Here is a 27,631-nt window from a genome sequence, read left to right on the forward strand (position 1 = left end):
ATATATTTCCTAGACAACTGCCTGTCTATTCCTGGATTCTGCTGAGCTGTTCATTGGATCTATGAATTGCACATGTAATATCTTTAGTAAATTGTTTTCCAGCCATATCCTTGATGTTCTCTCCAGAACACATTTTCTAAGTTTTGCAATATGAATAGGATGAGAATTTCCCAAATCTTCAAGTCTGGTTCCTTTTTACTTAACAATTCATTCCTCAAATTAATTCTCTTCTCTCACATTTTACTATAAAGCAGCAAAAAGAAGCCAGGTCAGGTCTTTGACACTTGGCTTAGAAATCTCCTCAGCTAAATATCCATTCATCACTTACAAATTCTACTTTCCACCAAACACTAGAACACAATTTGTCCAAGTTCTTTGCTACTTTATAACAAGAATAACCTTTCCTCCCGTTTCCAATAACATGTTCCTCATTTCTGTTTGAGACCGCACCAGAAGAACCTTAAACATTCATATTTTTACCATATGATGTTCATGATGATATATATATTCCATAAGATGACAGAAGCTTTCTGTCTTTACAGCTCTTCTCTTTTCTTTCTGAGCCTTCACCAAAATCATTTTAATGTTCATATTTCTACCAATAGTCACTTCAAAGGAATCAAGGCTTCTACTAACATGCTTCTCATTTTATTTTAATTACCTTTTCAAAAATCCTAACTTTAATTATTGTCACATTCAGGTTTTGAGGGTTAGGACTTCAACATTTGGACTCTTTTTTGGAGACAGAGTTTCAGTATGTTGCTCAGGCTAGTGTGTAGTGGCTATTCACAGGCATGATTATAACTCACTACAGCCTTGAACCTCTGGACTTTATCCTCCTGCTTCAGCCTTTTGAGTAGCTGGGACTATAGGCATGTACCACTGAGCCAAACTTCAACATGTGAATGTTTTTGGGAGACACAATTCAACCAACAGGAACATTACTTTTTTTGCAAATATCAATATGAAATCTCTGTGTGAGACATATTTTATGCTTACAGTTCATTGCAGTTATGATTTTTATTGATGCTCAGATTGTCCCATATTTGGCCTGTGAGATTTTCATCAAATTGACTTCTGAGTCTCTTTGACATGACCCAATGGTCTTTGATATATATATATATATATTTTTTTTTTGAGATGGAGTCTTAACTCTGTCGCCAGGCTGGAGTGCAGTGGTGCAATCTCAGCTCACTACAACCTCCGCCTCCTGAGTTCAAGCGATTCTCCTGCCCCAGCCTCCCGAGTAGCTAGGATTACAGGTACTTGCCACCATGCCCGGCTAATTTTTGTACTTTTAGTAGAGATGGGGTTTCTCCATGTTGGCCAGGCTGGTCTCGAACTCCTGACCTCAAGTGATCTGCCTGCCTTGGCCTCCCAGAGTGCTGGGATTACAGGCATGAGCCACCACGCCCCGCCTGACACTTTCCTTGTATTATAAAAAAAAAAAAAACTTGTGGGGGGAGATTTCCTTTCCTTTTCTCCGAAAGGGGAAGAAATTGAAACTGAGTGGCCCATGATGGAAAGAGGGGAAGTCCAGGGGTGCAGAAGGCCCCTGGGTGAAGGCAGAGGCTAACATGGGGTTCGTAGCTATGGGTGGCCATCAGCCTGACCAACTTTGTGCTGTCTGTCATCACTATCATCATCTGCTTCACCTGCTCCTGCTGCTGCCTGTACAAGATGTGCCGCCGAACACGTCCGGTTGTCACCAGCATCACGTTCACCACTGTGGTGCACGCCCCTTACACTCAGCCTCCAAGTGTGCCGCCCAGCTACCCTGGATCGAGCTACCAGGGCTACTACCCCATGCTCCCCCAGCCAGGGATGACAGCAGCACCCTACCCAACACAGTACCCACCACCTTACTCGGCCCAGCCCATGGGCCCGCCGGCCTACCAGGAGACGCTGGCTGGAGGAGCAACCGCGCCATACCCCACGAGCCAGCCTCCTTACAACCCGGCCTACATATATGCCCCGAAGGCGGCTCCCGGAGCGTGCCCCGGCCTCTCCGGCTGCCACTAGATTATGTTGTGTGTGTGTGTGAGTGGTGTGCAAGCACGGTTCCTTACGCCCCGTGCGTGCTGTGTGTGTCCTGCCTGTATATGTGGCTTCCTTTGATGCTGACGAGGTGGGGAACGTTCCTTGCCAGAGTGGGCTGGGACCAGACTTTCTTCTCTTCCTCACCTGAAATTATGCTTCCTAAAATCTCAAGCCAAACTCAAAGAATGGGGTGGGGAGCACCCTGTGAGGTGGCCCCTGAGAGGTGGGGGGCTCTCCATGGCACATCTGGAGTTCTTTTCCAGCTTACCCTAGGGTGACCAAGTGTGGCCTGTCACACCAGGATGGTGCAGCTTTCTGTGAGTATGATACAGATGTGTCCTGGTTTTGGCAACGTAGCCAGCTGCTGCTCAGGGGCATGGTTTGTCCCCAGAGTTGGGGGTACCCTTTGCAGAGCCAGAGACATGATGCAGGTGAAGCTTGGGATCTGACCAAGTTGGGCTTTGATCCTTTGGGCAGATGTCCCATTGCTTCCTGGAGCCTGTGTCATGCCGACTGGGGATCAGGCAGCCTCCTGATGCCAGAACACCTCAGGCAGAGCCCTGCTTACCTGATAGCTGTCTACCTGGACTGTTCCTGTCCCTACATCCTCCCTAGGACCACCTGGAGGGCCACACACACAGCCTAGCTACCCACAGGGAGCTCTCCTGCCCTTGCTGGCCCTGCCCTTCCCACAGGTGAACAGGGCGCTCTGTCCACCAGCACACTCAGGTCTCTTCCCTGCAGTGTTTTCATTTTATTTTAACCAAACATTTTGCCTGTTTTCTGTTTTAAAATGTGATAGTTGATGTGAGACTGAAACCCCTGGGTTGTGGAGGGAAATTGGCCAGGAGAAGAGGGAAAACCTGGCAACTGTGAGTCCCTGCTTCCCCTGACACCAGCCTCATGGAATATGCAACTCCTGTACCCCAGTCCAGTGTGTTCTGGCAGCAGGGACACCTGGGCCAAGGGGCCATCTGGACCAAAGGTGGGGTGTGGGGTCCTGGATGGCAGACATGAATACCTCGGTATTCCCTGTCTCTCAGTTATTGTTTCACCAGAGCTGTCTCAGCTTCGTATCTGTTGTGTTTCTGAGAGTCTAGAGTCTGCACCCTTGTTTATAATAAATGCAATAGTTTGGAAAAAAATTGTGGGCACATAGTAGAGGTATGTATTTATTGGGTACATGAGATGTGATACAGGCATACAATGTGAAATAAGCACATAATGAAGAATGAAATATCCATCCCCTCAAGCATTTATCCTTTGAGTTACAAACAATCCAATCACACTCTTTAAGTTGTTTTAAAATGTACAATTAAGTTATTATTGACTATAGTCACCCTGTTGTGCTATCAAATAGTAGTTCTTATTCATTCTTTCTGATTATTACTTGTACCCATAGAACATCCCCACTGCCCCCACATGCCCCCACTACCCTTCCCAGCCTCTGATAACCATTCCTCTACTCTTTATCTCCATGAGTTCAATTGTTTTGATTTTTAGATCCCACAAGTAAATGAGAACATGAAATGTTTGTTTTTCTGTGCCTGGCTTATTTCACTTAATGTAATGATCTACAGTTCCATCCATGTTGTTGCAAATGACTGGATCTCATTCTTTTTTATGGCTGAATAGTACTCCATTGTGTATATGTACCACACGTTCTTTACCCATTCATCTGTTGATGAACACTTACGTTGCTTCCAAATCTTAGCTCTTGTAAACACTGCTGCAACAAACATAGGCACACAGATATCTCTTTGATATACTGATTTTCTTTCTTTTGGGTATATACCAAGCACTGGGATTTCTGGATCATATAGTAGTTCAATATTTTTTGTCTTCTTAGGAACCTGAAAACTGTTCTCCATAGAGGTTGTACTAATTTACATTCCCACCAAACAGTGTACACATCCTAGCCAGCATTTGTTATTACTTGACTTTTGCATATAAGCCATTTTAACTGGGTGAGATGATCTCATTGTAGTTTTGATTTGCATTTCTCTAATGATCAATGATGTTGAGCACATTTTCATATGCCTCTTTGCAATACGTATGTCTTCTCTTGAGAAATGCCTATTCAAATATTTTGCCCATTTTTGACTGGAATTACTAGATTTTCTCCAGTAGAGTTCTTTGAGCTCCTTATAAATCCTGGTTATGAATCCCTTGTCAGATGGGTAGTTTGCAAATATTTTCTCCCATTCTTTGGGGTGTCTATTCACTTGGTTGATAGTATCTTTTGCTGTGTAGAAGCTTTTAAACTTGACGTAATCCCATTTGTCCATTTTTGCTTTGGTTGCTTGTGCTTGTGGAGTAAAGACTGTGTTTTCCCGAGTGCATATTCTTGGCACCTTTGTCACAAATGGGTTCACTGTTTGTGTGTGGATTTGTTTCTGGGTTGTCTGTACTGTTCCATTGGTCTGTGTGTCTGCTTTTATGCCAGTACCATGCTGTTTTGGTTACAACAGCTCTGTAGTATTATTTAAAGTCAGGTAATGTGATTCCTCCAGTTTTGTTCTTTTTGCTTAGGATAGCTTTGGCTATTCTGGGTCTTTGTGGTTCTGTATACATTTTAGGATCATATTTCTGTGAAGAATGTCATTGGTATTTTTATAGGGATTGCACTGAATCTGTAGATTGCTTTGGGTAGTATGGACATTTTAACAATATTGATTCTTCCAATCCATGAACATGGAATATTTTTTCATTTTTGGTGATCTCATCAATTTCATTCATCAGTGTTTTATAGTTTTCATTATAGAGATATTTAACTTCTTTGGTTAATTCCTAGGTATTTAATTTTATGTGTGGCTATTGTAAATGAGATTACTTTTTAATATCTTTTTCAGATTGTTCACTGTTGGCATATAGAAACACTACTGATGCCTCAGAGATGACCATGATGGTGTTCTGGTGTCAGGAGAATAGCAATGCCTGGGAGTCCACCACCACCATAATCTCCTGTGATCCCACGGAGCTGCAGTCAGAAGGGAGCAATGACAAGAAATAAGTGCTGAGCAGTTGTCATATGGTGCTGGAAGACATGCTACTTTTCCCTGAGGGCGGAAGACAGCCTGATGACGGTGGTACAATCAATGACATCTCTGTGCTGGGAGTGACCTGCTTGGGGGCCCAGGCTGATCATTTCACACAGACACCCCTGGATCCTGGAAGCCAAGTCCTGGTCTGGGTAGACTGGGAGTGGAGGTTTGACCACATGCAGCAGCATTAAAGGCAGCATCTCATCACAGCAGTTGCTGATTATCTGTTTGAGTTAAAGACAACATCATGGGAGTTAGGGAAATTTCGGAGTGTGATGCTGGAAAGCCCCTCTGTGAATGCAGAGAAAATAACCGCCACTGAAAAGAGTGTCAATAAAAATATCAGAGATCAGCTGCTCAACAAAGTATGAGAACTGAGCCTGAATGATCCTGAGGCGGAGCAGGTGAGAGGCTGGGGCCTGCCAGATGATCATGCTGGGCCCATTGGAATTGTTACCATCAAGGGTGTTGATTCCAACATGTGCTGTGGGATCCCCATGAGCAATCTCCGTGACTTTCCAGTCATTAAGATTAGGCACCGAGAAGAGGAAAAGGAATAAAATCAAACTGATATTTCTGGCTGGGAACCAGATGCTGAAATGGATGAAGAGAAGTCATGAAACTGAAAGAGCACTGAATCACTCTGCTTAAGTGTGGAGCAGAGGATCACATGGAAGCAGTGAAAAAGCTCCAGAATGTAGCCAGGCATGGTGGCTACTGCCTGTAATCCCAGCACTTTGGGAGGCCGAGGCGGGCAGATCACGAGGTCAGGAGATCGAGACCATCCTGGCTAACACGGTGAAACCCCGTCTCTACTAAAAATATAAAAAATTAGCTGGGCGTGTGGCGGGCGCCTGTAGTCCTAGCTACTTGGGAGGCTGAGGCAGGAGAATGGCGTGAACCCAGGAGGTGGAACTTGCAGTGAGCTGAGATCACGCCACTGCACTCCAGCCTGGGCGACAGAGCGAGACTCTGTCTCTAAATAAATAAATAAATAAATAAATAAATAAATAAATAAATAAAATAAAATAAAATAAAATAAAATAAAATAAAAAAGAAAAAGTTCCAGAACTCCACCAAGCTCCTGCAGAAGAACAACCTGAATCTGCTCAGAGACTCAGCTGTGCACATTGCCCATAGCCTCAGGACCAACCCAGACTCGGGGGATGTGGTCATATTACACAGGAAGGAGGGTGATTCATAGTTCATGAATATTGTTGCCAATGAGATTGGGTCAGAGGATTCCTTCCTGTTCTTAAACATGGGTGATGAGAAAGGTGCTGGGCTCTTTTTACTGGCAGGGCCACCTGAGACCATGGAGACCCTGGGGCCCAGGGTGGATGAGGTCCTAGAAGGCAAAGGAGCAGGGAAGAAAGGCTGCTTTCAGGGCAAAGTCACCAACATGAGCCAACAGGCAGAGGTGCTATCACTTCTCCAGAACTACATCAGCACACAGAGTGCTAGGAAGTGAGGGCTCAGGGTGCTCACCTCCTCTTACCACAGAAGGAGTCTTTTGGATAATTAAATAGCTTGACTTGAAAAAAAGAAGTGCTACTGTTTTTTTATGTTAATTTTCTATCCTGTAATTTTACTGAATTTGTTTATCAATTCTAATAGTTTTTGGTGAAGTCTTTAGGTTTTTCCAACTATAAGATCATATCATCTGCAAACAAGGATAATTTGACTCCTTCCTTTCAAATTTGGAAGCCCTTTACATCTTTGTCTTGACTCATTGCTCTTCCTAGGACTTCCAGTACTATGTTGAATAACAGTGGTGATAGTGGGCATCCTGGTTGTGTTCCAGATCTTAGAGGAAAGGCATTCAGTTTTTCGCCATTCAGTATGATACAAGCTGTGGGTCTGCTGCATGTGGCTTTTATGACGTTGAGGTATGTTCCTTCTATCCCCAGCTTTTTGAGGTTTCTATCATGAAGGGATGTTGAATTTTATCAAATGCTTTTTCAGCATCCATTGAAATGATCATAAGGTTTTTATCCTTCATTCTGTTGATATTGATGTATCACATTGATTTGTGTATGTTGAACCACCTTGTGTCTCAGGAATAAATCTTACTTGTTCATGATGAATGACCTTTCTAATGCATTGTTGAATTCAGTTTGCTAGTATTTTGTTGAGGATTTTTGTATTAATATCCATCAGAGATATTGGACTATATTTTCCTTCCTTCCGGAGAGGTCGAGTAGGATTGATATTAGTTCTTTAAATGTTTGGTGGAATTCAGCAATTAAGCCATAGGGCCCCAGGTTTTTTTTTTTTTTTCTTTCTTTCTTTCTTTTTTTTTTTAAACCTGGGAGAATTTTTATTATGACTTCAATCTCATCATTTGTTATTGGTCTGCTGAGGTTTTGGATTTCTACTGGTTCAATCTTGGTAGGCTGTATGTGTCTAGGAATTTGTCCATTTCTTCTAGATTTTCCAACTTATTGGCATATAGTTGTTCTCCTTGTATTCAATATGAAAATAAATTCTAGCTGTGAAATCAGCCATTTGATGAACAGGCCCTCATTCCTTTGGAGAGAAGAGATAGTTAGGGATCCCAATCTGGGTCGCTAAGGGTGCTCATTCCTACTGGATTGGTAATTATTTCAAGAAATTTTTTAAGGAATACTTTTTTTATTTTACTTTAAGTTCTGGGATACATGTGCTGAATGTGCAGGTTTGTTACATAGGTATACATGTGCCATGGTGATTTGCTGCACCTATCAACCCATCACCTAGGTTTTAAGCCCTGCCTGCATTAGGTATTTGTCCTAATGCTCTCCCTCCCCTTTCCCCCCACCCGCTGACAAGCCCTGGTGTATGATGTTCCCCTCCCTGTGTCCATGTGTTCTCATTGTTCAACTCCCACTTATGAGTGAAAACATGGTGTTTGGTTTTCTGTTCCTGTGTTACTTTGCTGAGGATGATGGTTTCTAGCTTTATTTATGTTCCTGCAAAGGACATGAACTCATCTTTTTTATGGCTGCATAGTATTCCGTGTTGTATATGAACCACATTTTTGTTACCCAGTCTATCATTGATGGGCATTTGGGTTGGTTCCAAGTCTTTGCTATTGTGAACAGTGCTGCAATAAACATATGTGTGCATGTGTCTTTATAGTAGAATGATTTATAATCCTTTGGGTATATACCCAGTAATGGGATTGGTGGATCAAATGGTATTTCTGGTATTAGATCCTTGAGGAATCGCCACACAGTCTTCCACAATGTTTGAACTAATTTATACTCCCACCAGGATTGTAAAATTGTTCCTATTTCTCCGCATCCTTGCCAGCATCTGTTGCTTCCAGACTTTTTAATGATCACCACTCTAGCTGGCATGAAATGGTATCTCATTTTCTAATTTTGATTTGCATTTCTCTAATGAACAGTGATGATGAGCTTTTTTTCATATGTTTGTTTGCCATATATATGCCTTCTTTTGAGAAGTGTCTGTTCATATCCTTCACCCACTTTTTCATGGGGTTGTTTTTTTCTTGTAAATTTGTTTAAGTTCCTTGTAGATTCTAGATATTAGACCTTTGTCAGCTGGATAGATTGCAAAAAGCTTCTCCCATTCTGTAGGTTGCCTGTTCACTCTGATGATATTTTCTTTTGCTGTGCAGAAGCTCTTTAGTTTAATTAGATTGCATTTGTCAATTTTGGCTTTTGTTGCCATTGCTTTTGGTGTTTTAGTCATGAAGTCTTTGCCCATGCCTATGTCCTGAATGGTATTGCCTAGGTTTTCTTCTAGGGTTTTGATAGTTTTAGGTTTTACATTTAAGTCTTTAATCTATCTTGAGTTAATTTTTGTATAAGGTGTAAGGAAGGGGTCCAGTTTCAGTTTTCTGCATATGGGTAGCCAGTTTTCCCAGCACCACTTATTAAATAGGGAATTTTTTCCCCATTGCTTGTTTTTGTCAGGTTTGTCAAAGGTCAGATCATTGTAGATGTGTGGTGTTATTTCTGAGGCCTCTGTTCTGTTCCATTGGTCTATATATCTGTTTTGGTACCAGTATCATGCTGTTTTGGTTACTGTAGCCTTGTAGTATAGTTTGAAGTCAGGTAGCGTGATGCCTCCAGCTTTGTTCTTTTTGCTTGGGATTGTCTTGGCTATATGGGATCTCTTTTGGTTCCAAATGAAATTTAAAGTAGCTTTTTCTAATTCTGTGAAGAAAGTCAATGGTAGCTTGATGGGAATAGCATTGAATCAATAAATTACTTTGGGCAGTATGGCCATTTTCACGATATTGATTCTTCCTATCCATGACCATGGAAAGTTTTTCCATTTTTTTCTGTCCTCTCTTATTTCCTTGAGCAGTGGTTTGTAGTTCTCCTTAAGATGTCCTTCATGTCCCTTGCAAATTGTATTCCTAGGTATTTTATTTTCTTTGTAGCAATTGTGAATGGGAGTTCACTCATGATTTGGCTCTCTGCTTGACTATTATTTGTGTATAGGAATGCCTGTGATTTCTGCACATTGATTTTGTATCCTGAGACTTTGCTGAAGTTGTTTATCAGCTTAAGGAGTTTTTGGGCTGAGATGATAGGGTTTTCTAAATATACAATCATGTTGTCTTCAAGCAGAGACAATGTGACTTCCTCACTTCCTATTTGAATACCTTTATTTCTTTCTGTTGCCTGATTGCTCTGGCCAGAACTTCCAAAACTACGTTGAATAGGAGTGGTGAGAGAGAGCATCCTTGTCTTGTGCCAGTTTTCAAAGAGAATGCTTCCAGCTTTTGCCCATTTAGTATGATATTGGCTATGGGTTTGTCATAAATAGCTCTTTTTATTTTGAGATACATTCCATGAATACCTAGTTTATTGAGAGTTTTTAGCATAAAGGGGTGTTGAATTTATCGAAGGCCTTTTCTGCATCTATTGAGATAATCATGTGGTTTTTGTCATTGCTTCTTTTTATGTGATGGATTACATTTATTGATTTGCATATGTTGAACCATCCTTGCATCCCAGGGATGAAGCTGACTTGATCATGGTGGATAAGCTTTTTGATGTGCTGCTGCATTAGGTTTGCCAGTATTTTGAGGATTTTTGCATTGCTGTTCATCAGGGATATTGGCCTGAAATTTTCTTTTTTTGTTGTGTCTCTGTCAGGTTTTGGTATAAGGATGATGCTGGCCTCATAAAATGAGTTAAGGAGGAGTCCTTCTTTTCTATTGTTTGGAATAGTTTCAGAGGGAATGGTACCATCTCCTCTTTGTACCTCTGGTAGAATTTGGCTGTGAATCAGTCTGGTCATGGGCTCTTTTTTGTTGGTAGGCTAATAATTACTGCCTAAATTTCAGAACTTGTTAATGGTCTATTCAGAGATTTGACATCTTCCTGGTTTGGTCTTGGAAGGGATTACGTGTCCAGAAATTTATCCATTTCTTCTAGATTTTCTAGTTTACTTGCATAGAGGTGTTTATAGTATCCTCTGATGGTAGTTTATATATCTGTATGATCAGTGGTGATATCCCTTTTATCATTTTTTATTGTATCTCTTTGATTATTCTCTCTTTTCTTCTTTATTATTCTGGCAAGCAGCCTATCTATTTTGTTAATCTTTTCATAAAACCAGCTCCTGGATTCATTGATTTTTTGAAAGGCTTTTCATATCTCTATGTCTTTCATTTCTGCTCTGATCTTAGTTATTTCTTGTCTTCTGATAGCTTTTGAATTTGTTTGCTCTTGCTTCTCTAGTTCTTTTAATTGTGATGTTACGGTGTCGATTTTAGATCTTTCCCACTTTCTGATTTTAGATCTTTCCCACTTTCCCACTTTTAGATCTTTCCCACTTTCCCAATTTCTGATGTGGGCATTTAGTGCTATAAATTTCCTTCTAAATACTGCTTTAGCTGTGTTTCAGAGATTCTAGTACATTGTCCTTTGTTCTCATTGGTTTCAAAGAGCTTTGTTATTTCTGCCTTAATTTTGTTAGTTACCCAGTAGTCATTCCGGAGAAGGTTGTTCAGTTTCCATGTAGTTGTGTGGTTTTGAGTGAGTTTCTTAATTCTGAGTTCTAATTGATTGCACTGTGGTCTGGGAGGGTGCGTGTTATGATTTCCATTCCTTTGCATTTGCTGAGGAGTGTTTCACTTCTAATTATGTTGTCGATTTTAGAACAAGTGCTATGTGGTGCTGAGAAGAATATATATTGTTGATTTGGGGTGGAGAGTTCTGTAGATATCTATGAGATCCACTTGGTCCAGAGCTGAGTTCAGGTCCTGAATATCCTTGTTAATTTTCTGTCTTGTTGATCTCTCTATTATTGACAGTGGGGTGTTAAAGTCTCCCACTATTATTGTGTGGGAGTCTACATCTCTTTGTAGGTCTCTAAGAAGTTGTTTTATGAATCTGGGTGCTCCTGTTTGGGTGCATATATATTTAGGATAGTTAGTTCTTCTCTTTGCATTGATCCCTTTACCATTATTTAATGCTCTTCTTTGTCTTTTTTAAATCTTTGTTGGCTTAAAGCCTGTTTTATCAGAGACTAGGATTGCAAAACCTGCTTTTCTTTGCTGTCCGTTTGCTTGGTAAATATTCCTCCATCCCCTTATTTTGAGCCTATGTGTGTCTTTGAATGTGAGATGGGTCTTCTGGATACAGGATACTGGATACACTGATGGGTCTTGACTCTTTATTTACCTTGCCAGTCTGTGTCTTTTAATTGGGGCATTTAGCTTGTTTACATTTAAGGTTAATATTGTTATGTGTGAATTTGATCCTGTCATTATGATGCTAGCTGGTTATTTTGCACATTAGTTGATGCAGTTTCTTCATAGTGTCGTTGGTCTTTATAATGTGGTGTGTTTGCAGTGGCTGGTACCGGTTTTTTCTTTCCATATTTAGTGCTTCCTTCAGAAGCTCTTGTAAGGCAGGCCTGCTGCTGACAAAATCCCGTAGCAGTTGCTTGTCTGTAAAGGATTTTATTTCTCCCTCACTCATGAAACTTAGTTTGGCTGGATATGAAATTCTGGATTGAAAATTCTTTTCTTTAAGAATGTTGAATATTGGCCCTCACTCTCTTCTGGCTTTTAGGGTTTCTGCAGCGAGATCTGCTGTTAGTCTGACGGGCTTCCCTTTGTAGGTAACCTGATCTTTCTCTCTGGCTGTGCTTAACATTTTTTTCTTCATTTCAACCTTGGAGAATCTGAACATTATGTGTCTTGGAGTTGCTCTTCTCGACGAGTATCTTTGTGGTGTTCTCTGTATTTCCTGAATTTGAATCTTGGCCTGTCTTGCTAGGTTGGGGAAGTTCTCCTGGATAATATCCTGAAGTCTGTTTTCCAACTTGGTTCCATTCTTCCTGTCACTTTCAGGGACCCCAATCAATCGTAGATTTGGCCTTTTCACATAGTCCCATATTTCTTGGAGGCTTTGTTTGTTCTGTTTCAATCTTTCTTCTCTAATCTTGTCTTCATGCCTCATTTCAGTAAGTTGATGTTCAATCTCTGATATCCTTTCTGTCACTTATCAATTCGGCTGTTGATTCTTGTATATGCTTCACAAAGTTCTCGTGCTGTGTTTTTCAGCTCCATCAGGTCATTTACGTTTTTCTCTAAACTGGTTATTCTAGTTAGCATTTCCTGTAACCTTTGTCAAGGTTCTTAGCTTCCTTGCATTGGGTTAGAACATATTCCTTTAGGTCAGAGGAGTTTGTTATTATCCACCTTCTGTAGCCTACTTCTGTCAATTTGTCAAGCTCATTCCCTGTCCAGTTTTTTGACCTTGCTGGAGAGGATTTGTGATCATTTGAAGGAGAAGGGGCATTCTGGTTTTTGGAATTTTCATCATTTTTGTGCTGGCTTTTCCTCATCTTCAGGGATTTATCTACATTTGATCTTTGAGGTTGATGACCTTTGGATGGGATTTCTGTGTGGGGGTTCTTTTTGTTGATGTTGATGTTATTGCTTTCCGTTTGTTAGTTTTCCTCCTAACAGTCAAGCCCCTTTCTTCAGGTCTGCTACAGTTTGCTGGAGATCCACTCTATACTCAATTTGCCTGGTTATCACCAGCAGAGGCTGCAGAACAGCAAAGATTGCTGCCTAGTTCTTCCTCTGAAAGCTTCATCCCAGTGGGGCACTGGCCTGATGCCAGCCAGAGCTCTCTTGTATGAGGTGTTTGTCAACCCCTGTTGGGACGTGTCTCCCAGTCAGGAGGCATGGGTGTCAGGGACCCACTTGAAGAGGCAGTCTGTCCCTTAGCAGAACTCAAGTGCTGTGCTGGGAGAACCCTCCTTGTCAGGATTTGCTGCTCTCTTCAGAGCTGGCAGGCAGAAACATTTAAGTTCACTGAAGCTGTGCCCACAGCCACCCTTTCTCCCAAGTGCTCTGTCTCAGGGAGATGGGAGTTTTATTTACAGCCCTGACTGGGGCTGCTGCCTTTCTTTCAGAGATGCCCTGCCCAGTGAAGAGGAATCTAGAGGAGCAGTCTGGCCACAGCCACTTTGTCACACTGTGTTGAGTTCCACCTAGTCCTTAGCACTGTGAGGGGTAAATCACCTACTCTAGCCTCAGTAATGATGGACGCCCCTCCCCCCACCAAGCTCAATCATCTCAGGTCGACTTCAGACTGCTGTGCTGGCGCAAGAATTTCAAGCCAGTGGTTCTTAGCTTGCTGGGCTCTGTGGGAGTGGGACCTGCTGAGCGAGACCACTTGGCTCCCTGGCTTCAGCCCCCTTTCCAGGGGAGTGAATGGGTCTATCTTGCTGGGGTTCCAGGCACCACTAGGGTATGAAAAACAAACAAACAAACAAACTCCTACAGCTAGCTTGGTGTCTGCCCAAACAGCCGCCCAGTTTTGTGCTTGAAACCCAGGGCCCTGGTGGTGTAGGCACATGAGGGAATCTCCTGGTCTGTGAATTGCAAAAACTGTGGGAAAAACAAAGTATCTAGGCTGGATAGCACAGTCCCTCATGGTTTCCCTTGGCTGGGAAGGGGAGGCTACCCTGCTCCTTGCACTTCCTGGGTGAGGTGATGCCCCACCCTGCTTCTGCTCACCCTCCATGGGCTGCACCCACTGCCTAACCTGTCCCAATAAAATGAACAGGGTACCTCAGTTGAAAATGCAGAAATTATCTGCCTTCTGCATTGGTCTCACTGGGAGCTGCAGACTGGAGCTGTTACTATTCAGCCATATTGCCAGCAGCCGCCGTGAATACATTTGTATGTGATGACAATATACATCATGATATTATACTGATTGCATAGCCTCATTGATGTTACTTTTGTATCTCCTTTCTCTTAAATTGAAAATTCAAATTTTATCGATATTAACAATGTTGCACATTTCCATTATCCAAACACATGCACATATACACACACCACAAAATTAAACACTTTAGTGTTTTTACATTTGTTTCATTTTTGTTTTGGTAGCTCTTTTTGTACTTAGGATATGTTTTGTTAAAAACGTATAGTCAAATGACAAATTACTATGTTTTAAAGTCATTCAAAGAACTTTCTGAGTGGTTAAGCCATCAACCTGTCACATGGTTAAATTCAATTATTTCATTTTTCTTTTGAGTTTTAGAGATTTTTTTTTAAAAAATAGTTTTGTTTTACAATTCTATACACTATTTCATAGTTACCATATCAAATTCATAAAACAGGCATGGTCAGAAAAATCAAGATTTAATCAACTATCCACCCTCATTTGTTCTCTTTTCTTAGATGACAAGATACTACTGAAACAACCAAACAAACAAACAAATGCCCAGTCAAGAAAAAGCCACATTCAAAATCGTAGGCAATTTCATGGTGTTTTTACTCACCCTTGCCCCACCACTTCACTGGCACAAAGCAAAATGGTCAGAAGAAAGAGGCTCACTCCCTGGTCCCCTCCATTAAAATGGAAAAAGCAGAGTGCTAATTGTAAAGTTATTGCCTGTGTCCAAGGGACTGGTATGTGTCTTACCTGTCTTGGAGCTCAGAGAGATAACAGTGCATAGTTTGAATATTAGACTGAAAGGTGAAGAAGGGAGTGGCAGGTGCAGCAGCATGTGATACTGAAGAAGTACTACAGAGTCACACATGACTGGTAGCAATAGATTGTGGGTAGAGGAATATAATGGCATATCTAAGGCTCAGAGAAGAACCTCGGGTGATACTGTTTTAAATATTAATAATCTCAGGTAAACTGGGGGGAAATACAGCACACATACAGAAGCCCAGACAGAACTCATACCCACAAAAGACCAGGGAAGCCCTTAAGCATTGACTCCTGACTGATCTCAAAGCTCAACAACCCCCTAGTTAGTAAAGGCCTTCATAGCAGTCTTCAAAGACTGGGATAGATGTTATATTGTAATGTTCCATTTCCAACAAAAGATGACAAAGAATATAAAGAAATAGGGGAAGATGGCCATTCAAATGAATAAATTAAATTTCTAGACACAGTCTCTGATGAGACATTCAACAGACTTATTAGACAGAAACTTTAAAACAACTGTCTTACATATATTCAAAAAGCCAAAGGAAAATAGAAACAAAGAACTAAAGGAAGCCTGGAAAACATTTTATGAACAAAATGAGAATATAAACAAAAAGATAGAAACTATATAAAAAATTCTGGAGCTAAAAATACAATAAAAGAATTGAAAAATTCACTAGAGGTATTTATCAGCAGACTCAAACAGGGAGAAAAAAGAATCAGTGAGTTTCAACATAGGTCATTTGAAATCATTGAGTCAGAAAAAAAAAGAAAAGAAATGGAAGAAAGTGAACAGGGCCTAAAGGGATTTATAAGACATAATTGAGTGGCCTAATATACACATTGTATGAGTTCCAGAAGAAGAAGAGATACAGAAAAAGGAAAGATTATTTGAAGAAATATGGCTGAAAGTTTACCAAATCTGAGGAAAGATATGAATGTACAAATTCAAGAAGCTCAATGAACTCCAAGTAGGATAAACCAGAAATACACCTAGACACTTTATAGTCAAGCTGTTAAAAGCAAAAGACAATGAGAAAATCCTGAAAGCACCAAGAGAAAAGTGACTCATCACATTCAAGGGATTCTCCAATATCAGCAGATTACTCAGCAGAAACCTTACAGTCCAGAAGACAGTGGGATGACATTCTTAAAGTATTAAAAGAAAAAATCTGTCTAATGAGAATTCTACAACCATCAACACTATACTTTAAAAATAAAAATGAGGTAGAAATTAAGACATTCCCAGATAAATAAAAGCTGAGGTAATTCATTATCATTAGACTTGCTCTATGAGAAATGCAAAGAAAGTCCTTCAAGTTAAAATAAAAAGATACTTGACAGTAACACAAAGCTATCTGACAGTAAAAGGTCTCAGGTAAAGATGTCCATATAGATACATAACCAAATATTATTGTAATATTGTAATTTGTAATTTTGTAATTAATATTGTAATTTTGGTTTATAACTTTGCTTTTAATTTTTGACAGGATTTATAAGATGTTTGAAGTTTTTCCTCTTTTTTGATATAGGCACTTATAAATACAAACCTCCTTCTTAGTACTGCTTTTGCTGTATCCCATGGGTTTTTGTATATTGGGTATTCATTATCATTTGTTTCAAGAAGTTTTTCAATTTCCTTCTTAATTTCTTCATTGACCTGCTGGTAATTTGGGAGCATATTATTCAATTTCCATGCATTTGTGTAGTTTCCAAAATCTCTCTTGTTACTGATTTTCAGTTTTATTTCCTTTCTACTCTACTCTGGTACTGAATTCAATGCCTCACAACTGTGTTCTCCCTCCCACAGTGCCCAGAGATGCTCTCTGTACCATGCTGCACTGCCACAGGGTGGGGGAGGGAATGGAGTTGGTGACTCCAGTCAGGTCTGTTTTTTGCTATCTTTTCAGTGCCTCTTTCAGCAATATGAAGTTAAAACCAGGTACTATGAGTGCTCACTTGATTTTTGGTTCTTATGAAGGTGTTTTTTTGCTGTGTAGATTGTTGTTAAATTGGTGTCCTTGTAGGTGAAATGATCAGTGGAGCCTTTATTCTGCCATATTGGTCCGCCTTACAAAAAACAAAAATAAAATGTTTAAAGAAGGAAAATCTACAATCAATATTCTAAGCTTTTAAGAATATGAAAACAGGCTGGGCACAGTGGCTCATGCCTGTAATCCTAGCACTTTCGGAGGTTGAGGTGGGTAGATCACCTGAGGTCAGGAGTTTGAGACCAGCCTGGCCAACATGGTGAAATACCATCGCTACTAAAAATACAAAAATTAGCCAGGCATGGTGGTGTGTGCCTGTAATCCCAGCTACCCAGGAAGCTGAGGCAGGAGAATCGCTGGAACCCGGGAGGCAGAGGCTTCAGTGAGCCAAGATCATGCCACTGCACTCTAGTCTGGGTCAGAGAGTGAGACTCCATCTCAAAAAAAAAAAAAAAAGTAAAGAAAATATAGCATCACACCAAACACAAAATAAGTAGGAGGAAGAAAATAATAAAGAACAAAAAATAAACGAGTAAAATTGAAAACACAAATATATAGAAAAAATAATACTTAAAACTAATCTTGATTCTTGGAGAAGATCAACAAAATTGATAAAAGTTCATGATGAATAAGGAAAAAAGAGAGAAGACACAAATTATCAAAATCAGGAATGAAAATGGGAACAATATCAAAGAACCCATAGATATTAGAAGATTTATAAAAGAATATTATGAAAATCTTTATACCAACAAATAATAAAACTCAGATAAAATGTACAAATTCTGACAAAGACATAAATTACCAATTGTTTCTAAAAAAATAGACCATATGAATAGGCCTCGGTCAAATAAAAAGTTGAATTCCAAACTTAAAAGCTTCTCACAATGAAAGCCCAGGCCTATGTGGCATCTCTGGTGGAATCTATTATTTAAAAGAAATACAGTGTACTCATCACCCAAATAGTGTACATTGTACCCATTAGGTAGTATTTAATCCCTCATCTCACTCCCAACCATCCCACCTTTTGTAGTCTCCAACGTCTGTTATTCCACTCTGTATGTCCACATGTACACATTGCTTAGCTCCCAGTTTTAAGTGAGAACATGTGGATTTTGACTTTCTGTTTCCGAGTCATTTCACTTAGGATAATGCCTCCAGTTCTAGCTGTACTGCTGTAAAACATATGATTTTATTCTTTTTGTATGGTTGAGTAGTATTCCATAGTGTGTGTATGTATGTGTGTGTATATGTATGTGTGTATATATATATATATATATATATATATATATATATATATATATATATATATATTGCATTTTAAATCCAATCATCCCAGTTAGAGTGGCCATTATTTAAAAGTCAAAAAACAACAGATATTATTGATGCTCAAATTGTACCATATTTGTCTGGTGGAAGCCTCTTGAAGTTGGCTCTTGAGTTCCCTTGAAACCCCAACATTATCACCACATAATATATCCATGTAACACAACTGCACTTGTACCCCTAAATCTAGAAGAATAAAATAATAATAAAGGCAATGGATGGAAACATAGTAACTATGTTTGAATCTATGAGTTCATAATAACATTTTAAAAACAAATAATCCCGTTTAAAAGTGAGCAAAGGACATGAATAGACATTTCTCAAAAGAAGATATACAAATGGCCAACAAACATATTAAAAAATGCTCGTTTAAGTTGTTTGTTGTTTGTGTCACCTCATTTTATAAGGTCTATACTACTCTGATAATACTATCAAAGACATAACAAAAAGATAAAATTATAAAACAATATTTCTAATACATTTTAAGAAATCTTAATAAAATATCAGCAAATAAAATTTAGAAGTGTATAAAACATTTCTATATTGTAAAAAAGGAGTCTTTTGCAGGAATGCAAAGTTGACTTAACAAACAAAAAAATTGATGTAATATACTGCAATAGAATACAATGCAAAAACCACATCAACTTCTTTATAGATGAAGAAAGATCATTTGACAAAAATCTAATTCTCAGTCATGATGAAAATTCTCAAAAACAAGGAATAGAAGAAAGCATTCTTATACTGGTAAAATCATCTATTAAACAACCGCCATTAAAATCACACTTAATGGTAAAAGTCTAAGAAATTTCTCTATAAGATTAGTAAAAGAAAAGATGTTCACTCTTGCCATTTATGCTCAACCGAAAGTTTCAGCCAAGACAGTCATGCCAAAAAAGAGAAACTAAAGGCATACGGACTGGAAAAAGAAGTAAAATTGTATTTATTCTCATGTGACAGAATCTCATATGTTTTTTTAAAACAAAAAAAAAAAATCCCAAGATTCTGTTGGACAAGTGGTTGTTGAAAAAAGAATCCCAAGGAACTTACCAAAAAACTACTAGAACTACCAAAACTAATAAGCAAGTTTAACAAGGTCACAGAAACCCATGATTAGCACATAAAAATAGATTGTATCATTATATAATAGCAATGAACAAGTCAAAAAATATTAAGAAAAAATTCCATTCACAATAACATCAGAATAATGTAATTTTTAGAAATAAATTAAAGCAAAAGTCCAACACCTGAACACTAAAACTGACAAACATTGATGAGATAAAGTAAATTATATATATAAAATGCACATGGATTGGAAGATTCAACATTAAGAAAACAACTTTTTTCTAAAATTGATGTATAAATTTAAGGTAGTCTATAAAATAATCTCAGCAGATATTTCTGGGTTTACAAAGACATGGGTAAATGCATAGTCACCTACCTCCCAAAATTTCTTCTCCAAGGTATATGAAATAACACAGGGAAAAGTTAAATCCTAAGCCAAAATATGCTCCAACATAACTTGAAGACAAAAAATGCCAAAACTGCAAATAATTGTGAATAATGATAAGTAAATTATCAAATCAAAGTGTATGATCTTGCTTACCTTCACCCCATTCCTCCCCTCATGAAGGATTTGTGGCAAGCAAAGGAAAATCATGAAAAACTGTAGAGAACACAGAAGAGGGAGGCCAATAAGGGGGCTATAGGTGACCTGGATTAACTGCCAAAAGGATTGTCCAACACAATTCTGAAAATACTGGAAGACTATCTGGGAAGATCAGAACATTGACTATAGGGATGATATTTTAAAGGATGTGTGCCTTTAAAAGATGATTTAAAGAAGTAGAAGCACATTAAAAGGCACAATAAGCCAGCACTCTTCAAAATGTGTAGGTTCTGGATAATGACAAAAGATGCCAAAGGAAAACGGAAGAATCCTACAGCAACTGGGTGGTGAAAAGTAGAAAAAGGAAAAGGGGGAAAATAAGGCTTCTACAAAAAAAAAAAAAAAATAGAACCATAAAACTGGAGGATTTACAAATTGCCCCCCCACCCACCCAGCCTTGCCCCAAATTTAGGATTCTGCGAGAGAAAACAGAGCTATAAAACTGGAGAATTTACAACCCCTTACACTATTATAGCAAACAAAGAAACAAAACCCTGAGCATGTATCTGGACTGTGCTGTATTGACAGATAATTTCATGCTTCAACTCCAAATCCTCTCAAACATGACAATACCACAAAAGTGAACAAAAGGAAGCTCAGCAAGTCCATACAAAAATACTGCAAAATATCAGGTAATAAAATTTTACCCATATCAAATGAAATGTTCCATAATAAACAAACATGGAACAAAGAAACGATAAGTTAATAGTTCATAAATAAGTACACTCAAACAAGCACTTGAGAGTATAAAAAACACTACCTTGCATCAGAAATTAGAAAACTAAACTCAGATATAAACAAAATAAACATGAAAAAGAGTTTACTGAACTTACAAAGCATATCTCATAAGCAAAGACTATGCTGAAACATGCCCAAGAGGTAATAAACTCAAGTGAGTAATGGCAGTACAAATAACAAATGAAAACACTGAAGTTTGGTTCAAGCCAGCCAATAGATGCAGCTAGAATATGCCTCCTTGGAGAAGAACCAAAATAGCAAGTAGGTATTCACACTTCAAATAGATAATCTAAGAGAGAACATTGGGATTCAAGGGAGAAATGACAGGAAGCACTGAAAGCAAAGGAGAGGGAATCTAGGTAGCCTGCTCAGCCAGAATGGGCTAGGACCTGGAAGAGGCACACAGACATGAGGAAGGGGTAAGTGGGAGTCCCCCAGGGCTCCATATTCCCAATACAGACTATCATAATCCCAGTTACAGGAGAACTACTTGACCCATGCAGACCTCAAGACTAATATAAGGAGATTCCTAGAGATTGTGCAAAGGCATTTCTCCAAAGAGATAACTAAGTCCCAAAGGCTTCTGAGCCCCAAGCAGCTGCAGCTTGGTGCCATTCTGAGAGTTAAGCCCCCAAGAGACTGTGTGCTGTCCCGGGGTTGATGCCATTGCTGCTGCCCCAGGCCAAGGAGGGAAAGGAGAGGGCAAGCATTTTTACTCATTGCAAACACAAATTCCACCACTGCTGCTGCAAGCTGCTATGGGACCAAAGTGCAAGCAAACCACACTCCCCACTGTTGTCCACCTATGCTGCTCCTGCTGAGAAGGGCCTCACCATCCCTGATCACAGGCCCACAGCTAGCACCATTATGAGAGCCTAGACTCAAAAGGGCTGCATCCTGCCCTGAGTCCTGGGCTGCTGCTGCTGCTGCTTCCACTGCTGGGCCAAGGAGGAAAAGGGGGGAGGCCAGGCACTTTCACATGATGCAAGGACAAATTCCACCACCATTGCTGTGGGCTGCTGTGAGACCAAAGCACAAACAAACCATGCTCCCCACAGCTACCTGCCTACACTGCTCCAGCTGGAAAGGACTATGACCTTCCTGATTGCAGGCCCAGAGCCAGCACCATTCTGAGAGCCTATACTCCAAAAGGCTGTGTTCTGCTCTGGGGCTAGGGCTGACAATGCCACTGCAGCTACTGGGCCACACTGGGAGAGGGAATACTGGGCACTTTCACATGCTATGAAGATAAATTCCACCAATGCTACTGTGGGATGCTGTGGGATAAAAATGCAAGGAAACCATGCATCCTACAGCTACCTCCCTACATTGATCTCGCTAAGAATGGCCTCACCCTCCCCAGTGGAAGGCCCACAATGCAGCCACTGCTGCCTACACCTGAGTATCCTTCTGGCAGCCGGGGGACCACCCTGTTCCTACCAGTCAAAGCCAGCACTTGAATGGACTACCAGGGAGCCTGAGAACAAGTCCACTCATCCAGTCCTAACTTATCAGTATTCAAGCATGCTATCAGGGGCATGGAAACCACCCAGCCAAGTCCACCAACATTGGTACCTGAACACCCCTCCTGGTGTATAAAGTTGGGCCAAAAAAACCTACCAATACCATCACAGCTGACACCCACCCACATGTACCACCAATGGGCCAGGTGACTAATCCACCCAACCTGTCATAGCCACTGCCAACACCATCATAAACTACTTGGGTTCCAATAGGTTGCTCCACCATCACTACTGCCGTTGTGCACATCATAACCACTCTCTAGAGACTCAAGAAGTCACCAACATGCCCAGATTATCATTGCTACTACCAGCAAATGAGCAAGCCACTTAGAGGACCAGGAATCAGCCCACCTGAACCTACATACACAGATGCCAACATATGCCACCCTGAGGCCCAAATACAGGCATGTTCAACCCACCACTGACACTACTGGCACCTGAAGACTGGCCCATCAGGCATACAAGAACTTCACCACAGCCTCCATTAATAACTATACTCTAAGCCACTGAGTTCATCACAAATACTACTAACACTGTTTATAGCTGAAAATAATGGCTATTACTAAAAAGACAAAAAATAACAGATATTGGTGGGGATGTGGAGAAAAGGGAATACACTGATGGTGAGAATGTAAACTATTATAGCCACTATGGAAAACAATATGGAGATTTCTTTAAAAACTAAAAATAGAATTACCATTCAATTCAGCAATCTCACTACTGGTCATCCAGCCAAAGGAAAAAAAAATCAATATATCAAATGGATACCCACTCTCACATTTTTACTGCAGCACTATTCACAATGGTGAAGATATGTAATCAACTGCAGTGTCCATTAATTGTGAATGGATAAAGAAAAAATACACACACACACACACACACACACACACACACACAATGAAATACTAATTGGCCATAAAAAAGAATAAAATCATGTCATTTGCTGAAACATGGATGGAACTAAAGGACTTTATCTTAAGGTAAATAAGCCAGGCACAAAAAGACAAATATCATATGTTCTCACATATTTGGGACCTAATCAAGTCTCCAGATGAGTACTCAGCCCTGGGCAACACCTTAATTGCAGCCTATGAGAACTAGTCAGAGGATCCACCTAAGCCAGCCCCACATTGCTGAGTCACAACAGCTGGGAGATAATGAATGTATGTGTGTTGTTTTACGCTGCTAAATTTGTGGTACTTTGTTATGCAGCAACAGATAATTGATACAAAATGAGTCACAAGATAACCAGGATAATTAACTTAGCAGGATCAGCTCTGAAACATATTTTTGTAAAAGTAGTATTATTGGGGGCAGGGCCAAGATGGCTAACTAGAAGCAACTAATGTGCACCACTTTCATGGAGAGAAGAAAAAGTGGTGAGTAAATACTAGATCTTCAACTGAAACATCCAGGAAGACAAAGAAACAACTCAACCCACAGAGAATGGAGAGGAGCGAGACAAGATGACTGCCCACCTGGGAGTAGCATCAAGCCAGGGGAGGTTTTTCCAGCACAGGGAAATGGTGAGTGAGTGAAAGTCCCTGGAGATCCATACTTTTCCCACAGACCTTTGCAACCTTCATGAGCCCTCATGAGCCCATGCCACTGGGGCCTTTACACTGATATGCAGAGCTACATGGAGTCTGGGCAGCACCACTGTTCAGGTACACGTGGAGTCCCAGAAGCCTTGGATCCCCAGGCATCCTGGTATTGGTGGCTGCATCTCCAGCAATGGAGGAAGTCAGGCTCCCTCGTGTGCACTCAGGAAATGTGCCAAATACATAGGGCTGAACAGCGAGAGCCTGCAGGCCTTGCCTCTGCTGCACCTCGGAGGATAAGACTCACTGGTCCGGGACTCCAGCCACCCACTGCTAGAGCTCTCAGGCCAGTATCAGCTCTGAACTCTGGGATGGAGCACCCACAGGGAGAGGCAAGCCATTATTTTTGCTGTCTTGCAACCCTCACCACTGTTGCCTTCAGGCTCTGGAGACTGTGTGGTGGTTAGGGACTGTCACAGATCCTGAGCAAAATGCAGCCACCCCACAGAAAAACAGACAGACTGTTAGTGCACAGATCCATGATCCTGCTTCTCCTCACTGGGCAGGACCTTCCGACCAGGGACTCCAGCCCACCCCCTGTCAGGGCTCTCAGGCTAGCAGCAGCTCTGCACTTCCCTGGGACAGAGCTCCCACAGGGAGAAGCAGGCCACCAGTTTTGCTGTCTCACAGTCCTCACCATTGTTCCCTTCAGGCTCCAGGGAGTGAGCAGTGACTAGAGACTGGGGCATATCACCAGCTGATGCAGCCACTCCACAGAAAAAGTGGCAAGACTATTTTCTACATGGGTCCCCAATCCTGCTTCTCCTTACTAGGCAGGGCCTTCCAACCTGGGACTGCAGAACATCTACCCTGCTCCCACACGAATACTTTGGTTAAAGACAGTTCTTCAGTTCTCTGAGGAGAAAATCCCCGAAACAACCCACAACTCCTCCACCATTGCAGCTGCACTGGTAGCACCCTAACAGCCCTAGGGTAGGGAAGGAACAGAGGACCTAGTCACTATGTTGGAACCTCCAGAACACCACAGCCGCCACACAAAGAGGCAGCCAGTACTTCTTCCCTGTGAGCCCCTACCCCCTACTATTTAGGGTCCCTGTATCAGGACCACAGATGAGCCACCCCACCCACAGCTGACCATACCCACTAGTAGTGGCTCTAAGTTTCCCTGGAGAGGAGTCCCAGAGGCAACCAAACTAAGTTTCACGAGTGAAAGAAAAATAAGATCCTTTTCAGACAAGTAAATGCTAAGGAAATTCATTACCAACAGATCTGCCTTTCAAGAGGTCCTAAAAGGAGTGTGAAATATGGAAAGGAAAAACCATTAGAAGCCATGCCACAACAAAAACACACTTAAGTACACAGACCAATGACATTAGAAAGCACCACACAAACAAGTCTGCATAATAACCAGCTAACAACATAGTGAAAGGAACAAATCTGCACACATTAATACTAACATTGAATGAAAATGGGCTAAATGCCCCAATTAAAAGGCACAGAGTGGCAAGCTGAATAAATAAAGAATAAAGAAGCATGATCCAATGGCATGCTGTGACCAAGAGACCCATCTCACATGCAATGACACAAATAGGCACAAAATAAAGGGATGGAGAAAAATCTACCAAGAAAATGGCAAATAGAAAAAAAGTAGGAGTTGCTATCCTAATTTCAGACAAAACAGACTTTACACCAATAAAGATCAAAAAAGAAAAAGAAGAGCATTGTATACTGATAAAGGATTCAATTGAACAAGAAATCTAACTATCCTAAATATATATGCCCCCAACACAGGAGCACCCAGATTCATAAGGCAAGTTCTTAGAGACCTACAAAGAGACTTAGATGACTACACAATAATACTAGAAGACTTCAACACCCCACTGACAGTATTAGACAGATCATCAAAGCAGAAAATTAATAAAGATATTCAGGACCTGAACTCAATATTTGACCAAATGGACCTAATAGACATCTACAGAAGTTTCTACCCAAAACAACAGAATATACATCCGTCTCATTGCCACAGGGCACATACTCTAAAATTGACGGGACAATCAAACATAAAACAATGCAAAGCATATTCAAAAAACAAAAACAAAAACAAAATCATACCACTGGGTGGTGCAGGGCACTGGTGCCCTGGGCCTGGCCAATGAAACCATTCAGTCCTCCTAGGCCTCTGGGCCCTTGATGGGAAGGGCTGCATTAAAGATCTCCGAAATGCCATTGAGGCCTTTTTTCTATTGTCTTGGCTATCAGCACCTGGATTCCTTTTAGTCAGGCAAATCTCTCTAGCAAGTGCTTGCTCTGCAGCCTGCTTGGATTCCTCTCCCCAAAAATCATTTCCTTTATTTGCCATGTGGCTATCCTGCAAATTTTCCAATCTTTAACACTCTGCTTTATCTTTAAATATACATTCCCAACTTAAGTCATTTATTTGCTCTTGCATCTGGGTATATGCCGTTAGGAGTAGCCATGCCACTTATTGAATACTTTGCTGCTTAGAAATTTCCTCCATCAGATATCCTAGTTTGTCACTCTTAAGTTTAAGCTTCCACAGATCTCCAGGGCATGGACACAATATAGCCAAGTTCTTTGCTAAGGTGTAAGAAGGGTGAACTTTGCTCCAGTTCCCAATAAATTGCTTATTTCAATATAAGGCCTCATCAGCCTGGACTTCACTGTCTATATCACTATAAGCATTTTGGTCACAACCATTTAACCAGTCTCTAACAAGTTCCAAACTTTCCCTCATCTTCCTATCTTCTTCTGAGGCCTCCAAACTCTTCAAATCTCTGCCTGCTACCCAGTTCCAAAGCCTATTCCATATTTTTATAGCAATGTCCCATTCCTCAAAACCAAATTTCTGTGTTAGGCTGTTATTGCATTGCTATAAAGAAATATCTGAGACTGGGTAATGTGTAAAGAAAAGAGGTTTAATTGACTCACAGTTCTGCAGGCTGTACATGAAGCATGGTGTCAGCATCTGCTTGGCTTCTTGTGAGGAGTTGGGCTTCTTACAATCATGGCAAAAAGCAAAGCAGGGGTAGGCACATCACATGTGAAAGCAGGAGCAAAGGGTGGGGAAGGTGCCACACACTTTTCCTTTTTTTTTTTTTTTTTTTGAGATGGAGTTTCACTCTTGTTGCCCAGGTTGGAGGGCAGTGGTGTAATCATGGCTCACTGCAACCTCTGCCTCCTGGGTTCAAGTGATTCTCCTGCCTTAGCCTCCCGAGTAGCTGGGATTACAGGCATGCACCACCACGCCCGGCTAATTTTGTATTCTTAGTAGAGACAGGGTTTCTCCATGTTGGTCAGGCTGGTCTCAAACTCCCAACCTCAGGTGATCCGCCCACCTTGGCCTCCCAAAGTGCTGAGATTACAGGCGTGAGCCCTGTGCCACATACTTTTAAACAACTATATCTTATGAAGGGTCACTCACTATCATGAGGACAGCTCCAAGCTAATGGTGCTAAATCATTTAAGAGAAATCCATTCCCATGATCCATTGACTTTGGGATTACATTTCAACATGCTTTCATGGGGACAAATATCCAAACTATATCACTCACAAATATAGTCATACAACACATAATGATGTTTTGGTCAACAATGAACTGCATATACAATGGCAGTCACATAAGATTGCAATGCAGCCGTAAAATTCCTATTACTTTTTGATGTTGTAGCTGTTATAACGACATAGATCAAGACATTACCACACATTACCTTTTCTAAGTTTAGAAACACAATACCATTGTTACAATTGCCTACAGTATTCAGTACAGTAACATGCTGTATAGGTTTGT

The 27,631-nt window shown here is 40.7% G+C and overlaps 2 long non-coding RNA genes and 2 pseudogenes across 2 annotated transcripts in view; 3 read left to right on the forward strand and 1 right to left on the reverse strand.

Annotated features, from left to right (window-relative positions):
* The window catches only part of JPX (JPX transcript, XIST activator), a 126,061-nt gene extending 119,953 nt beyond the window's left edge, over window positions 1-6,108 (forward strand). The window contains exon 5 of the long non-coding RNA NR_024582.1: window positions 4,893-6,108. This is a non-coding gene — a long non-coding RNA (JPX transcript, XIST activator). The remainder of the gene's footprint in view (window positions 1-4,892) is intronic.
* The window catches only part of FTX (FTX transcript, XIST regulator), a 265,439-nt gene that overhangs the window by 36,141 nt on the left and 201,667 nt on the right, over window positions 1-27,631 (reverse strand). The window lies entirely within an intron of this gene.
* Window positions 1,460-3,179, forward strand: SHISA5P2 (SHISA5 pseudogene 2; annotated as a pseudogene).
* Window positions 4,981-6,620, forward strand: AARSD1P1 (AARSD1 pseudogene 1; annotated as a pseudogene).

The sequence above is a fragment of the Homo sapiens genome, chromosome X (assembly GCF_000001405.40).
Source record: "Homo sapiens chromosome X, GRCh38.p14 Primary Assembly".
NCBI classification, from domain to species: Eukaryota; Metazoa; Chordata; class Mammalia; order Primates; family Hominidae; genus Homo; species Homo sapiens.